This window comes from Homo sapiens, chromosome X (assembly GCF_000001405.40).
Source record: "Homo sapiens chromosome X, GRCh38.p14 Primary Assembly".
NCBI lineage: Eukaryota > Metazoa > Chordata > Mammalia > Primates > Hominidae > Homo > Homo sapiens.
In genome coordinates, this window is record NC_000023.11 from 100,993,021 (window position 1) to 101,011,127 (window position 18,107).

At 42.7% G+C, this 18,107-nt stretch overlaps 1 protein-coding gene across 13 annotated transcripts in view; it reads right to left on the reverse strand.

Moving 5' to 3' along the window:
* Window positions 1–18,107, reverse strand: part of TRMT2B (tRNA methyltransferase 2B) — a 78,746-nt gene that overhangs the window by 19,655 nt on the left and 40,984 nt on the right. For 12 of the 13 annotated variants that reach the window (XM_005262196.3, NM_001167970.2, NM_001167971.2 and 9 more), the window contains one exon: window positions 16,330–17,687. In XM_005262196.3, coding sequence (XP_005262253.1) covers window positions 17,561–17,687 — 127 coding nt within the window. In that variant the 3' untranslated portion in view covers window positions 16,330–17,560. Of the gene's footprint in view, window positions 1–16,329; window positions 17,688–18,107 lie in introns of those variants that run through there. The other variant, XR_001755729.3, reaches the window with a different exon arrangement.

Sequence of the window (18,107 nt, forward strand, 5' to 3'; positions counted from 1 at the left end):
TTTGCTCTTATCTTCAAGGAAACCATCCCAAGCACCTTATAGGTCTTTGATAGGATTCTGACTGAGGCACAGCTTAGAATTATGAAGCTGAAAGGAACCTTACAGAGCCTCTGGTCCAACCCCTGTTGTTATAAAAATGAGGAACTTGAGGTGCAGAGAGGTTAAGTGGCTTGCCCAAGATGGTACAGCTGATGGCTGGCAGAGCTGCTCCTAAAAATCCAGATCTCATGTGCCCAAGCCAGTGCTCTACTCTGTTCAAAAATACTGTATCCTCCCTGGGTCTTCTTTGGCCTTTCAGCCCATCTACCTTCCTCCAATTTGCCTGATAAATATCGCTGGAGAATTCTGCTGACAATCATTCTCACCTGGGGATGCAACAAATCTCTCTCCTGAATAAGAGTTTTATGAGGCAGGAGACTACGAATCAACAAACCGTAAGAAAATTGGATCATGCACATTTTATAACATGTGTGTTTATGAGGCAGGCATACTTTCTCAGCCAATAGAGAAGAGAAAGTGGATGGGAAAAAGGGATGGGATTGTACCCTATGAAGGTGAGCTGGGTGAAGAATCTAAGTTGAACAACATCTAACACAACTGAATTTCAGTATATTGGCATACTTCCTTTTGTGCAATGTAGGTGTTCCTGGGTGTCAACCAAATTTTCCTACATAGAATCTATCAATCACAAAAAGTTATTTAGATACCCTCCTCCCAATACAATCAGTGTACCCTTAGTCATGTAAAGAAAAAAAATCTCTTTTTGAGTGAATCTTAATTGTGTTGCTACAGGCTGTTAATATACTTTCCAAACCTCTTACCAAGCTGGGTGACCAGGCAATTTCCCCCAGTGAAGGCAGGAATAACAGTGCCTACCTCAAAGGCCTGCTGTAAAGTTTAAAAGGGATGATACACACAAAAATGTTTAGAATAGTGCCTGGCACACCCTAAGTAGGATATTAAATATTAGCTACTATTATGTTGATTTAGGGAAGGAGCTCGGTGAGATCATTAGAAAGCTATAGTCCCCCTTCTGGGATAGGTATCCACTTTTCTGTAGAAAACAACCCAAAGAGAGATGTCTTAGACTGTCAAGTACAAAGTGAATAGAGAATCTAGGGTAATTACAACCAACGCCTCCCATATTTTTCTCTTTCAGAATCCTAAATCTGCCAAAGAGGTTTTACAAATCTCTTTCTCAGTGGGGCAGCCCAGGGACCAAGAAATGGATAGTTTCTTGAGCCTGGAGGGCAAATTTTCTTAAAGGCAAGTGGTTGCCTTGGGGTTTCTTTTCTTTAGTTGTCAATGTCTTGGTCACTCTCCAAGATGTTTAGAATGTAGCTCCCGTCAGAGGCACTTGCAGCTTATGAATGACCCTGGCCTATCATTCACTCATATGGCTCTGGGTATGTTTCTATCTTATCTTTCAGGGACAGACCTGGGCTTTCTGACTAGAGAATTCACTATGAATAGGTAGAGAGGTCCTTCTGCTCTGAATGGTTTTCAATTCCTGCACTCCAGTCCTCACTTGTCATTCATGTGTTAGGTCTACCTGCCAGTAGCACTCTGTCAGCAGGGTTGTTAAGCAATCTATGACCTCTGTAGGAAATGAGTCATATAGTTAGCACGCAGCAAAGGTTAAGAAAGAACAGTGATAATTCAGGGTTGGAGCATGGAAACCAGTAGTAGCTAAACTAGTTATAAATCCCCCAGAGATTCAAGTGTTGGGTGTTTGGGCCATACCAGTTGTGTTTTTATTTTTGTTTTAGTGGCAGGGTCTTGCTCTATCACCCAGATTGTAGCGCAGTGCCACAGTCATAGCTTGCTGCAACCTCGAACTCCTGGGCTTAAGCAATCCTCCCACCTTGGCATCCCAAAGTGCTGAGACTACAGGTGTGAGCCACTGTGCCCAGCCCCAGTTGTGTTTTGAATATTGTTCTTTCCTCTCAATAACATCTTCAAATCACTTATTTTCAAGGCAGTTGCTACTGGCAAGATGTAATAAGTGCACTCAACACAACATCACTCTTCTCAGGAGAATCCTGCCAACTAGTATTCTTAACCATAAGATGGCTATGACTGACTTAAGGGTCAAGCCTGGACTCACTGCTTTGTTACTCAACCCTGTAAACCCTTTATTGGAAGACCAAAACTTAAATTTCTGACATGAAAGTGTATAGAGAATGAGAACTGTCACCCAACTTTCCAATACTGAAACCATCCCCTCATCCCGCTGTATTTTTATAGCTGCAACTAAAAGAACTATAGCCATGGCACCCCTGATCTGTACCTTATTCCTTCAGCTGTAATAAAATGTTCTCCCACTCCCCTTGCCTTTTTTCTCATGTCAAGCTCTGGAGGAAACAATTGTTATCCCAGGAAGGAGAAGGTGGCAGATGCTTTCTGCTATTGGCACATAGATAATATCAGCTCAGGGGGAATGTACTTCCACCCCTGTGCCCAGTAAGTGCCAGGATCTGGTCCAGGGAGGCTGAGGTGGCTCTGCTGTTGGGTGGTGGGAGAGCAATGTTAACAAAGCACTCAGGCTGTGCTGTGCACTGATGACTCAGGAATCCCACGCGATCCCACGCTCATGCTAGTCGCCACATCCAGGAACTAAAATAGACCTCTGGTGCTATGAGACAGCAGGCCTTTAGATCTGCTCAGAAAAATAAGCCCGGTCCTAACAACTGGCATGCTATTCAATACAATGGAATGTTACACAGCCATTAAAGATGGCAATTATGTGCACTGTGTGGGTGGAAACCAGAATGTGAAATAATGTTAAGTGAAAACAGCAGAATAGGAAAGAGCAGATATACATGCTGATCCTAACTATGTAAAGCATACATATAAGAGCACTTCTCTAAAGAACTTAAAAGAATGAAGAGTTCCACAGTTCTTTTACATTCCACACCCCCTACTCCAACACATTCTTAATATACATTTTTTTTTTTTTAGAAAATTGTCATGCTGATTACACTAGGTTACAAAGACACCTGTCTTTTAGCTAACACAGGAGTTAACTCCACTGATAATGTGGTTCAGGGACTAAAGGAGAACTGAATACTAAGGGGGCTGGTGCCCCATCATTTGGAGCAACGTGGATGGAACTAGAGGTCATTATGTTAAATGAAATAAGCCAGGCACACAAAGACAAATATCGTATGTTCTCACTCATATTTGGGTGCTAACAAAGTTATCTCATGGAGGTAGAGAATAGAATGATAGATACCAGAGGCTGGGAAGGGTGGAGCGGGGAGCGGAGAAAGAGATGTCGGTTAATGAATACAAACATACAGTTATAATAGAAGGAATAAGTTCTAATGTCCAATAGCACAGTAGGGTGACTATAGTTAACAATCATTTATTGTATATTTCAAAACAGCTAGAAGAGTTTAAACATTCCCAACAAAGAAAAAATGTTTGAGGCAACAAATATCTCAATTACCCTGATCTGATCATTACACATTGTATGCATATATCGAAACATCACATGAAAAAATATGTGCAACTATTATGTATCAACAAAAATGGCCTGGATCGTTCCTCTTCCTCCCCTCGCCCCCTTATGTTCAGGGAACTTGCTCAAACACAATTACCATTTCAGGTTTGGCACTACAGTGAGAAATTCCTTCCTAACTCCAAGCCGACCAAATAAGTCTAAGATGGGAGATTAAGAAAATTTACATTTCCAGCCTGGGCAACATAGCGAGACCTCATCTCTACTAACGATCAAAAATTAGCCAGGCATGTTGGCACATGCCTGTAGTCCCAGCTACTCAGGAGGCTGAAAAAAAAGGGTCACTTGAGCCCAGGAGACTGAGGTTGCAGTGAGCTATAATCACAGCACTGTACCCAGCCTGGGCAACAGAGTGAGACGCTACTCAAAAAACAAAAAACCAAAAAATAACTTATATTGAACCTCTTTTAGTTGGGCCACTGTGTTTTGAACTAGCCTTGCTTATATGGAAAGAAAGGAACTAGATTTTTTTTTTGATAGGCTTCTATAAGTTCCATATTTGTAAAAGAATTGTTGCACACTACCCCTCTTGTCACCTTGTCAGGGTTGGTACTTACAGTCAGTCAAACATCTAGCACATATCTGGGTATCTGAGTGAGTAAAATTCTCTCCCTCGAGATGTGGCCTTAACACCTTTCCAGACCTGGTTTTTCTAGAATTAGCTTTCAATCAGTATATTTAGTTTTCCAAAGACTATAGTTAGTTTCTTTTAACTTTGCATTTTGAAATAATTTTAGATTTACTCAAGAGTTGTAACTGTAGTTCAGAAAGTTCATGTATACCCTTCACCTAGCTTCCCCTAACGGTAGCATCTCATCTTCTGGTACACTGATCAAAACTATCACATTAACATTATCATCATACTAGTTACTAGACAACAGACTTTATTTAGACTTCGGTGTTTTCACTAATGTCCTTTTTGTTGTTGTTGTTCAAGATTTAATTCAGGATCCCATACAACATTTATAGATTGGTTAGTTTACAAAAAAAATCCTACAAACAGGTTTCCTCTTAAGGAGTTGAAAGGGTAAGCTAGTAGGTGTTCTAAGCAAGTTATGATCCTGAGCCACTCTACCCAGAAGGGAACTCCATCACTTCTGTACCAAAGCCCTTAATCCAAGACGCCTCATCACAGTTATTTTCAGAAAACATGTCTTACATTAGCACTTCTCGCAGTAGTACAAAATGATTTGACAAGTAGGTTATTTTTAGCAACCAACATTATGAAGGTGACAAAATGAGAGAAATAGCCTTCCTTGTCTGCTTTCTATGCTTCATTTTTCTTCAAACCGTATATAAATTTTTACTAAAAGCTGTAATATTTGACTAAAACATAAATGCTGAGAAACACCCACACCAACAGGGAAGGGACTCTGCGATGTGTTTGGTTTGACTTGCCTAAAATTAATTATTGAAAACACAGAAAATTGGCCTGGTGCAGTGGCTCACGCCTGTAATCCCAGCACTTTGGGAAGCTGAAGTGGGCGGATCACTTGAGGTCAGGCGTTTGAGACCAGCCTGGCCAACATGGTGAAATCCCATCCCATCTCTACTAAAAATACAAAAATTAGCCGGGCGTGGTGGTACATGCCTGTAATCCCAGCTACTCAGGAGGCTGAGGCAGGAGAATCACTTGAACCCGGGAGGCAGAGGTTGCAGTGAGCCAGGATCATGCCACTGCACTCCAGCCTGGGTGACAGAGTGAGACTCCATCTCAAAAAAAAAAAAAAAAAGAAGAAAACTTACAGGAAACAAATTATTTTTGCCAGTTAATCTCAATAATGGGAAGGGAAAGCAGGCTATGACATTCATTTATTTGTCAACAAATAATCGGATGATTAAGAATGACACCCATTACAAAATTAGCCAGGCGTGGTGGCGCATGCCTGTAATCCCAGCTACTCGGGAGACTGAGGCAGAAGAATCACCTGAACCCAGGAGGTGGAAGTTGCAGTGAGCCAAGATGGTGCCACCACACTCCAGCCTGGGCGACAGAGCGAGATTCTGTCGCAAAAAAAAAAAAAAAAAAACGACACCCATTTCATGCATGCTATGTGCCAAGCAATTTGCAAAGTGTTTTATATATACACAGATTGTTTCACTAATTGGTCACAGCAATCTCCATGAGATAAGTGCTATTATTATCCTTATTTTACATGGAGATGGGTGGTAAAAAGAGCATTGGAGAGGTCAAGTAACTTGTCCTAGATCACAGAGCATGTAAGTGATAGAGTCAGGATTTAGGCCAGGTCAGCCTGACTCCAAAACTGCTCTGCTTGGCCAGTATGCTATATCGCCTATCTAAGCACCTGCCATATTTCAGACACTGTGCTAGGTGTTACATATACAACAGTGACCAAGATATAGCTCTTGTCCTCTTAAACCTTACAGTCTAGTTGGAGGAGACAGACTACTAAACAGTTTAGTATAGCCCTCTCTGATATTCCTTGGCTTGGTTACGTATAAAGGTAATCAGTAAAGGCAAATGGTAAATACCAATATCCTGAAATATTTCAATTCCTTTTGTAGATCCTCAGAGCAAAGGCCTCTCCCCTCCATGTATCATGAATGTCCCTAACAGTCACAAATGGACTTGAGGATATTTACATGTTCCTCCATTGTGTGGCTCTGGGCCACATGTGGGCACTGCCACCCTGCTTAGTCTCCTTTGAAGAGAGACAATGAGAAACAATGTGGAAATACATGTATTAATGAAATAGAATCACCTGATGGAAAATTGTTAAGTGTCAGACATAATAGCTGTATTTCATTTCAATTGTCCTTTTGCACTAACATTAATTGGCAAGTACTAAGGGAGCTTCATGACTGCACTTTATGGGCATGCCATTTTGAAATATATTCCTTAGGAAAGTGACAATGATGCCCCTGTAAGCTATAAATTTCCAATGTGATTTTGAAGATAAAGGGTTGGAAGACTTACATCTCAACAAATGACAATCATCTTCTCCCTTCCAGCCCAAAAACAATCAAAGGGCATTATCTAATACCATAATACTGTACTTCTCAATGCTGGCTGCATATGGGAATCACCGGGGAAATTTTAATATTACCAACGCCTGTGTCCCACCTCCAGTGATTGTGATGACTCAGCTGGTCTGGACATGGTCTGCACTTGGAAGTTTGGAAAGATCCCTGGGAGATTTTAATATACATACAAGTTTGGGAACCACAGCCCTTATCAGAGGATCATAACCCTGACTGACTGCAAATTAGAATCACCTTGGGGATCTTTTAAAAATTCAGATGTTTGGGCCACACCCCAGACCAATTAAATCAGAATCTCTGGAGGATCAAATCCCAGGAACTAGGAAGTTTTGTAAAAAGATCCCTCAGGTGATTCCAATGATGTGCAGCCAAGGCTGGAAACCACCATAGTAGGTGAAACTCCAAATCTGAAAAGGCAATGACAAAATTTGCACTCATTGGTTCAGCAACTCTAAGATGAGCCTAATGAGAAGAAGCCTGTTCTAGAAGAGGAGTGGGAATCAGGCTGAGGATAACTGTTCTACTTTAATATTAAAATGAGTTCACTTTTCTCTCACATGTATGAGAGTTAATTTTTTTTTTTTTTTTGAGATGAAGTTTTGCTCTTGTTGCCCAGCCTGGAGTGCAATAGCGCAATCTCCACTCACTGCAACCTCCACCTCCTGGGTTCAAGTGATTCTCCTGCCTGAGCCTCCTGAGTAGCTAGGACTACAGGCGCCCACCACCGTGCCCAGCTAATTTTTTGTATTTTTAGTAGAGATGGGGTTTCACCATGTTGGCCAGGCTGGTCTGGAACTTCTGACCTCAGGTGATCCACCTGCCTTGGCCTCCCAAAGTGCTGGGATTATAGGCGCGAGCCACCGCACCCGGCCTGAGAGCTAATTTTATTAACTTAGGCTAGGAATTATAATCTTTCGCTAGAATTACTAGTAGCTGATGATACCTTAGCCCTACTTTCTACCACACCCCCCAAAATAATGGCAGAAGGAATGAGAAAGGAAGTGCTTTAAAGAAATAAAAACCTTTGCAAAGGACTGCAAACCAGTGCTCAGAACACCTGGGTAAGTCTAGAAGAGTAGCAAGCAGAAAGACAAGCTATCTGGCCTATGTATTACCCAACTACTGTAGTTACGTTTTATCTGCAACCTGGTGTGCACTTTTACTCATCACACCAAACACCAGGCTTAGAGACCAAAAATCCAACGTGATTCTCATCCTTGGCTACACAACAGTCATCTGGAGAGCTTTTAAAATAATGATGATAGGGCTACACCCAAAATGAATTAAATCAGAATGTGAAGTGATGACACTCAGGAACTTGTTTTTGACGGTCTCCAGGTGATGTGCAACCAAGGCTGAGAATAGTTGCTCTGAACCAGTGGTTCCTAAATTTGAATGCACACCAGAATCACCTGAAAGACATGTTAAATTAGATTGCCCTAGCCCCAGTGTTTCTGATTCAGTTGAGGGAGAGCCCAAATGTGTGCATTTCTAACAAGTTTCCAGGTGATGCCAAAGCTGCTGGTCCAGGGATCACACTTTGACAGGTAAATCTTGACTACTGGTTCACAACCTTGACTGCATACTAGAATCACCGGGCAGGGTGGACAGTAATTTTAAAAAGACTGATGACTAAGACCCTCCCCAAACCAATTAAATTGGAATGTCTGGGGCCCAGGCATCAATATTTTTTATATATTTTTTGAGACTGGGCCACACGCTGTTACCTAGGCTGGAGTGCAGTGGTACAATCATGGCTCACTGGAGCCTCGACCTCCCAGGCCCAAGTAATCCTCCCGCCTCATCCTCCTCAGTAGCTGGGACTACAGGCACACACCACCATGCCTGGAAAATTTTTTTGTGTGTGTGGAGATGGAGGTCTCGCTATGTTGACCAGGCTGGTCTCAAACTCCTGGATGCAAACAGTCCTCCCACCTCAGCCTCCCAATGTGCTGGGATTACAGGCGTGAGTCACTGCACCCAGCCCGGATCTTGGTTTCTAAACACCATTCTACACTGAAAGGAACCAGGGTTCATTGGAAATGGCTGGTTCCAGGACTAGGGCAAGGAAAATGTAAAGTGACCCTGGGAATCTTGTGCCAGAATCTAAGGAAGTACTCAAATACTAATGGAGGCATGTTAAGTGACATGAGAGCCAGCTGAAGGGACTCCCACTGGTCAAACTGTAGAAAATTTGAGCATCAAAAGGAAAATAATTGAACTGAGCTTAAAACACGGAATTCAAATAAGCAAATCACCGAATCAAGTGATATTCAAAAAAAAAAAAAAAAAAAAGCAGGGGGAAACAACTTTGCCACTATTGTGCCAGACCACTGTCAACTCCAATTTGGACAGAACCAGATTCAAGAGGCCAAAGAACAGATCCAGAGACAGCAAACAAGACATGGTGTTTTTTTGTTTGTTTGCTTTTTTGTTTTTAACTGGGGTCTTACATTCAAGGGAGACTCCAGTGGTGATGGGCTGGACGGAACTGCAACCACTTGCAAATGCATGGGGTTTATATAGCATTTTCACCTAACACCCTCCCCCTAACAACCTGCAGCTGGCAACCTTCATTTAAACCAAAACAAAGGGCCTCAATTCCCCGTATGGCCTGCATTTCACGGGACAGGCCAGGAGCTCAGATGTTCCCCATAGATCAGAAATGGATCTCTGGGTTCCTGAGCTGGAAACTCCCTATCGCATTCAGGTGCATCTGCCATACGGGGCCATTCTCAGGCTATTGCTATCTTCAGTTATTGCTATCAGGTGCATTTACCATACAGTCACCATAGTAATTATTAGGAAGCAATTATTATACTAACTTCTTGCTCTAAAAATTGGTATTAAAAGGGAAAGACTTAGGTCTTTACCTGGCTTTTTTGGAGGAACTCTAGTTCATACCCTCTAGAAAGGGAAAAGCTCATTTTTATAAAAGAGTGACAGCTGGCTGGGTACAGTGGCTCACGCCTGTAATCCCAGCACTTTGGGAGGCCGAGGTGGGTGGATAACCTATGGTCAGGAGTTCGAAACCAGCCTGGCCAACATGGTGAAATCCCATCTCTACTAAAAATACAAAATTAGCTGGGCCTGGTGGCAGGTGCATGTAATCTCAGCTACTTGGGAGGCTGAGGCAGGAGAACTGCTTGAACCCGAGAGGCAGAGGTTGCAGTAAGCCGAGATCGCACCATTGCACTCCAGCCTGGGAAACAAGAGCAAAACTCTGTCTCAAAAAAAAAAAAAAAAAGTGACAGCTAATAAACACAGACCGATTGACAGAATTAGGAAATCATGGCTTTTCAATCCCCAATTAAATTATTAATTTACCATCAGTGGGTACACGAAAATAAAAAAGTTAGAAAGCAATCATTTGTTTTTGAGACAGGGTCTTGCTCTGCCACCCAGGCTGGAGTTCAGTGACACAATCTGGTCATGGCTTACTGCAGCCTCTACCTCTCAGGCTCAAGCTAATCTCCTACCCCAGACCCCCAAGTAGTTGAAAATAGAAGTGCGTGCCACCATGCCAAGCTTTTTTTTTTTTTTTTGGTAGAGACATGGTCTCACCATATTCCCCAGGGCTGTTCTCAAACTCCTGTACTCAAGAAATCCTCCAGCTTCAGCCTCCCAAAGTGCTGGGATTACAGGTGTGAGCCACTGCATCTGACCAAAATAAATTAAAAAATTAAAAAATATTAAATGACTGAGTCAGGAAACAGTAATCAACGGATGCTAAAATCTTTAGGGAAGAGGTTATTGGGAAACAGGATAGTCACATGGCATTAGAGTGACATCCGATAGCTTTTTTTTTTTTTTTCTGAGATGGAGTTTCGCTCTTGTTGCCCAGGCTGGAGTACAATGGCACAATCTCAGCTCACTGCAACCGCCGCCTCCTGGGTTCAAGCGATTCTCCTGCCTCAGCCTCCCAAGTAGCTGGGATTACAGGTGTGTGCCACCACGCCCAGCTAATTTTTGTATTTTTAGTAGAGATAAGGTTTCACCATGTTGGTCCAGGCTGGTCTTGAACTCCTGACATCAGGTAATCCACCTGCCTCAGCCTCCCAGAGTGCTGGGATTACAGGCATGAGCCACTGCACCCAGCCAACATCCCACAGATTTCTTATTAATTACAAAGAGGAAAATTACATGGAGAGTTCTGAGGGCCATCAACCTAACCATCACCTTTACTACAAGTGAGCAACTGAAATAATGTACCTCCTAATGGGATGCAACATGAAGTACATACCATCACTTTAAGTTTTGGGGGTGTTTTTGTTTTTGTTTTGTGTTGTTTTGTTTTTTGAGACAGGATCTTGCTGTGTCACCCAGGCTGGAGTGCAGTGGCACCATCATGGCTCACTGCAGCCTCAACCTCCTGGGCTGAAGCAATCCTCCCACCTCAGCCTCCTAAGTACCTGGGACTACAGACATGCACCACCACGTCCAGCTAATTGTTAAATTTTGGATTTTTTTGAGACAGGGTCTTGCTCTGTCATGCAGGCTGAAATACAGTGGTAAAACCATGGCTCACTGCAGCCTCCACCTCCCAGGCTCAAGCAATTCTTCTGCCTCAGCCTCCAAAAGTAGCTGGAACTACACGTGTGCACCACTGTGCCTGGATAATTTTTTTATTTTTTGTGGAGATAGGGTTTTGCCATATTGCCCAAGTTGGAGAAAAAGATTTTAAAACTTTCCTTCATGACACTGTTTTTGGGAAAACAACAACAACAACAACAACAACAACAAACCCTCAAAAAAATGTTTAAAACTGATATAAAACCCTATCACACAGAAAAAAAAAACCATATTTTGGTTCTCAAGATTTGGTTCTCTACGTTACCCAGGCTGGGTCTGGTCTTCAACTCCTGGGCTTAAGTGATCCTCCTGCCTCCACCTGAGCCACTGCCCACAGACCACTTAAGTATTCTTGTCAAAAATGTGTTTTGTTTCGTTTTTGTTTTTGTTTTTTTTTGAGATGGAGTTTTGCTCTTGTTGCCCAGGCTAGAGTGCAATGGCACAATCTCAGCTCACTGCAATCTCCACCTCCCGGGTTCAAGCAATTCTCCTGCCTCAGCCTCCCAAGTAGCTGAGATCATAGGCGTGCACCACCATGCCCAGCTAATTTTGTATTTTTAGTAGAGATGGGGTTTCTCCATGTTGGTCAGGCTGGTCTCAAACTCCCGATCTCAGGTGATCTGCCCGCCTCGGCCTCCTAAAGTGCTGGGATTACAGATGTGGGCAACCGTGCCCGGCCATCAAAAATGTTTTAATGTGAGTCTAATCAAGCCACTAGACCTAACTTCAAGTTTATAAGAAATTTAGGTCAAGAAAAAGTTAAACATGAACACACGTAAACAAAACATCCTGGTTTACCCAGGACTGAGGGGTTTCTCAGGATGTAAGATCAGTGTTCAAACTAGGAGAGTCCTAGGCAAACCAAGACAGTTGGTCACCTTAAAATCAGACAAATCCATAATGTGGAACAGACCTGGTTTCTAAAAAGTCAGTGCCTTGGGTAAAAAGAAAAAGTGAGGAGATCATTCTAGATTAAGAGAGACTAAAGAGGCCATACACGGAGGCTCATGCCTGTAATCCCAGCATTCTGGGAGGCCAAGGTGGGTGCATCACTTGAGGTCAGGAGTTCAAGACCAGCCTAGCCGACATGGTGAAACCCCATCTCTACTAAAAATACAAAAATTAGCCAGGTGTGGTGGCACACACCTGTAATCCCAGCTACTCGGGAGGCTGAGGCAGGAGAATCACTTGAACTCAGGAGGTGGAGGTTGCAGTGAGCTGAGATCGTGTCACTGCACTCCAGCCTGGGCTGTGACAGAGCAAGACCATCTCCCAAAAAAAAGAGATACTAAAGAGACACAGACAAAACCACCAAATGTAACATGTGAATTGGCCATAAAAAACATTTTGGGGACAGTTGGGGAAATTGAATATAAAGCAGTGCTACCCTGCCAGTCCACAGATGTAAATGAACAATGTCGCTAAGTCAGTACACTGTGTAATTCAGCTGCCTTTTTTTTTTTTTTTTTTGAAAAAGACTTTTTTGATAAAGAATGTGGTACTCTGGCACTCTGGGAGGCCGAGGCGGGCAGATCACTTGAGGTCAGTAGTTCAAGACCAGCCTGGCTAACATGGTGAAACCCCATCTCTACTAAAAATACAAAAAAAAATTAGCCAGGCATGATGGCGCATGCCTATAATCCCAGCTAAGCGGGAGGCCGAGGCACGAGAATTGCTTGAGCCCAGGAGGCAGAGGTTGTAGTGAGCCAAGATTGTGCCACTGCACTCCAGCCTGGGTGACAGAGCAAGATTCCCACTCAAAAAAAAAAAAAAAAAAAAAAAAGAAAGAGAGAAAAGAAAAAAAGAAAAAGAATGTGGGCCAGGTGCGGTGGCTCACACCTGTAATCTCAGCACTCTGGGAGGCCGAGGTGGGTGGATCACCTGAGGTCAGGAGTTCAAGACCAGCCTGGCCAACATGGTGAAACCCCGTCTCTACTAAAAATACAAAAATCAGCCGGGTGTGGTAGCACACACCTGTAATCCCAGCCTCTCAGGAGGCTGAGGCGAGAGAAACGACTTGAACCCAGGAGGCGGAGAGGCGGAAGTTGCAGTGAGCCGAGATCGCGCTGCTGCACTCCAGCCTGGGTGACAGAGTGAGACTCCATGTCAAAAAGAAAAAGAAAAAGAAAAAGAATGTGGTACTATGATACACACTTTGGTATAAACTCCTTATCTTTTTGTGAAACATCAGGCAGTCTCCAGACCACACCTCAAGAAGCACTGAACTACATTAGATGACATTAGTGAAGATTAGTGAGGTACTGCTAATTTTCTTAGTTGAACTCATAATATAATGGTTATGTAGAAAAATGTCCTTATGCTTAGAAGATAGATGTATAAGGTATACATGTATCTGTATACCTTATACAGACAGATGAGGGATCTAAAGATGAAGAGTTGGCCGGGCGCAGTGGCTCATGCCTGTAATCTCAGCACTTTGGGAGGCTAAGGTGGGAGGATTGCTTGAGTCCAGGAGTTTGAGACCAGCCTTAGCAAGATGGTGAGATCTTATCACTACAAAAAAATTAAAAAATAGCCAGGCATGGTAGCAAACACGTGTAGTCCCAGCTACTTGGGAGGCTGCGATAGGAGGATCCCTTGAGCCCCGGAGTTCAAGGTGGCAGTGAGCCATGATGGCGCTACTGCACTACAGCCTGGGTAACAAAGCAAGACTCTGTCTTAAAAAAAAAAATTATGACTCACTAAAGACTCAGATGATTTTTAGCATTTTTAAAGCAATAAAGTACATTTTAATTAAGGTACATACACTGGTTTTTTAGATATAATGATATTGCACACTTAATAGACTATAGTATAAGCAATGTTTATATGCACTGGGAAACCATAAAATTCACATTACTTGCTTTATTGAGATATTCACTTTGTTGTGGCAATCTGGAACCAAACCTGCAATATCTCTGAGGGCATAACTATAAACAAGTAACAAAATTATGAGGAAGTTGATTTTCCATAGCCAATCCTGTATTTATTCATTAAATATTCCTTGAAGGAGGAATATTTAAGTTAAAAACAGAAAGGTAAATAGAGTAAACCAGAAGAGTTAGGGAAAAGAATATTCCAAGCTGAGGAAACAGAATGTAAATAGGACCAAAAGGGAAGAACTTTCTCCTTTTCAGGGAAAGGAATCCAATATATCTAGAGAAATGGAGTTCTTCAGATTATGAAGTGGCTTTTGAGCTTCATCAATAATGTTGGACTTTATTTTAAAAGCAATAGGAAGTTGGCTGGGTGCAGTGGCTCATGCCTGTAATCCCAGCACTTTGGGAGGCCAAGGTGGGTGGATCATTTGAGGTCAGCGGTTCGAGACCAGCCTGGTCAACAAGATGAAACCCTGCCTCTACTAAAAATACAAAAAGAAAAAAAATGAGCCAGGCATGATGGCACACGCCTGTTATCCCAGCTACTTGGGAGGCTGAGGCACGAGAATTGCTTGAACCCAGGAGGCAGAGGTTGCAGTGAGCTGAGATTGCACCACTGCACTCCAGCCTGGGTGACAGAATGAGACTGTGTCTCAAAATTACTAACTAAATAAAATAAAATAAAAGCAACAGGAAGCCAATGACAGATTTTAAGTAATGGAGAAACATGAGATTTGCATTTTTTCTTAAGAGGGTCTTGCTATATTGTCCAGGCTGGTCTTGAACTCCTGGGTTCAAGCAATCCTCCAGCCTCAGCCTCCCCACTAGCTGGTATTTCAGGTGTGTGCCATGGTGCTAGAATGAACTGGGGCAAGAGTGAATACAAGCAGCAACAGTTGTGAAGATGACTATTGCAGCAATAACCTGGAGAGAGATGATGGAAGCCTGCAGGGATGGCGACTTTGTGAAAAATTGGATGAGGCCAATAGTACAGGAGAAGGACTCAAAAATCATTCCCAGACTCTGGCTTGGGTGACTGAGTAAACTGTTATATTCATTAAGACTGAGAATAGAGGAGGAAGAACATGTTTAAGGGAAAGATGGAAAGCATTCAACATTAGATATATTGAGTTTGAAGAATCTAGAAGATATCCAAGAGGAAGTTACCTTATAGGTAGTTGGATACAGGAATGAAAAGGAACTCTGTTTTCTGGCTTAAGTGATTGATATAGATGGTATTGCCATTTGCTGATACAGGGAATAAATGGAAAAAAATTGCTTTTTTGAAAATTTCATTATAAAAATAATATAACCCATCACATAAAATTTAAAAATAAGGAAAGGAAAAAATTTATGCAACTACCATAAACCAACACTTTCGGAGGCCGAGGCAGGTGGATCACCTGAGGTCAAGAGTTCGAGACCAGTCTGGCCAACATGGTGAAACCCCATCTCTACTAAAAATACAAAAATTAGCTGGGTGTGGTGGCAGGCGCCTGTAATCCCAGCTACTCAGGAGGCTGAGGCAGGGGAATCGCTTGAACCGGGAGGCGGAGAGGTTGCAGTGAGCTGAGATCACGCCACTGTACTCCATCCTGGGTGACAGAGTGAGGATCCATCTCAAAAAAATAAAAATAAAATAAATCTTTCTGGCTGCTCCTCCTTGGGCTAGATAATTCTTATAGATAGCAAGGGTTCAGCTGGAAGATTTCTTTGATATACAAACTAACCAATTCAGAGCTATATTCCCTCTATCTGGCATGGACACCCCAAGAGACAACATTCCAGTGTCCTAATCACCCCATGGCCAGGTACCAGACAACTAGGGAGCACCCCTATACCTTATTCAAAGTAGCCAATCCTAAACTGTTCACTCAGCCCTGCATTGCCTTTCCCAAAGAAACTCAAGTAACGGCAGTGGCCTAAACCTTCCCCTCTTCTGTCTTCTGCCTCCTGCCCACCCTGGTGTCTTTCCCATGTAGTCCTATGTGGCATAATATGTCTCCTGTCTCTAGGACCTGTAAGCATAATAGACTTTGTTTTCCTGAGCCTCTCCTGTGTCTCCTCTTGTGGCTATACCTGACCCACCATCTAAAAAAAGAATAGAAAACATTATATAGTAGCTTTAACAGCCATATTTTTCTAAGAAGGAGGCTTCTCTAGAATGTTTGATTGAGAAGAATTAAAAATACCAGTTAACCTGATATCACTTTGTGAATCAGACAACACTTACTAAGTTACACATCCTTAGGCCTTTAGATTATCAAAACATAATCTAAATTGTTGGGCAAGTACCCAAGAACAACTCCAGAGTTGATGAAATCATGGACTAGAGAATGTTAAATACAGTCAGTTTTCAATATCCAGTTTATTATGTTATACTAGATTTTGGAGCTTTTTGCCTCCACACTACACAGCACAATTATAGGTATTCAGTCTCTCTGAAAATCTCCTTTCCCTTAGGGTCTCTCCAATAACCAATTCTTCCTCCACGGGTGAGAGTTAATTGGTGCTATTGCTCCTAGGGATAACTACATTTTCTTTTTTTTTTTTTTTTTGAGATGGTGTCTCACTCTGTCACCCAGGCTGGAGTGCAGTGGCACAATTTCAGCTCACTGCAACCTCCACCTCCCAGGTTCAAGCAATTATCCTGCCTCAGCCTCCCGAGTAGCTGGGATTACAGGTGCCCACCACCAGGGAAAACTACATTTTCAAGGGGCATTCGAGATGCCTTAAAACCAAGAAAACCCAAAAGAATTAATCTCATCTGATGATCACTCAGTCACCCTGTATTCACTTCATGGCTTACCCTGCTTTTAAAAAACCTCGACTGTTTCTGGTTTTAATCCTTAACTACCTCAAGAATCCAGAAGTCTTAGAAATATCTAAAAATTGTAGCATCTCTGAGCAAATGCACAGGCTCCAGTCAATGTAAAATTATTACCAGCTGCTTAAAAAAGGTCATTTGTCCACACCATAAGCAGAAACGGAGGAGACAAGACTATAAACTAGAACCAAGGCTGACAGCAACAGGAAGAAACAGTCCAGATCCAGGAGTGGGGAGTGGTCAAACCCAAGCAAACGGGCATGATTGAAAGGGAATCTGAAATCTAAGGTTAAGTCAGCCGCGGCGGGGTGTGGTGGCTCACGCCTATAATCCCAGCACTTTGAGAGGCCGAGGCGGGTGGATCACTTGAGGTCAGGAGTTTGAGACCAGCCTGGCCAACATGGTGAAACCCTGTCTCTACCAAAAATACAAAAATTAGCCGGGCATGGTGGCACGCACCTTTAATCCTAGCTACTGGGGAAGCTGAGGCACGAGAATCACTTGAACCCGGGAGGCGGAGGTTGCAGTGAGCTGAGATCACGCCACGACACTCCAGCCTGGGCAAGAGTGAGACTCTATCTCAAAAAAAAAATCTGCCTCAGACCAGAGGCCTAATAGATTCTTCCTATTCACAAACCAAAGATTGGTTTCCACTGTAATGCTCCCAGGGTCTGCAATGTAGCAATATGCCAAACCTGAAAGTTTCTGAAACTTCAGCCTTAACAAATAGCCTGCTGTCTTCTAGGAGGCTGCTTATCGAGTAAAGAGGAGCACCAGCTCACAATGTGGGGTGTGAGGGAACAAATCCACAGGTACAGCTTGCTGCAGGACAAAGGGCTCGCCTAAGAGCTTCTTAGCAGGGTCTGGAGGACAGCACAGCCTGTAGAAACAGAACATAGCATCAGTTCCCAGGAATAAAAGGAAGAACCCACAGGAATACAATTGCCTAAAATAGAGGCCCTTCCACTGTGTTCCCACAGGCCCCCTGTGTTTCTCTTATACAGCATTTATCTTATTTAATATAATCGTTTTTCTTCACCATCTTCCTTACTGAATTTTAATCTTTTTAAGGGTAGAAATGAAGTAAACACTGCTTAATATTCATCTCTGGGTTCCCAGTATGTGGCACAGAATAAGGGTTCAATACATATTTGGTAAATGGAGCTGAAGAGCCTGTATGTTTATAAGGCCTTAAGATACATAACCACCAAACTGTTCTAAAAAGGGTTGTACCAATTTATATCCCAACCAGCAAAGTAGAAGAGTATTTGTTTGCCTGGGTAATATTCAATACAGTCAT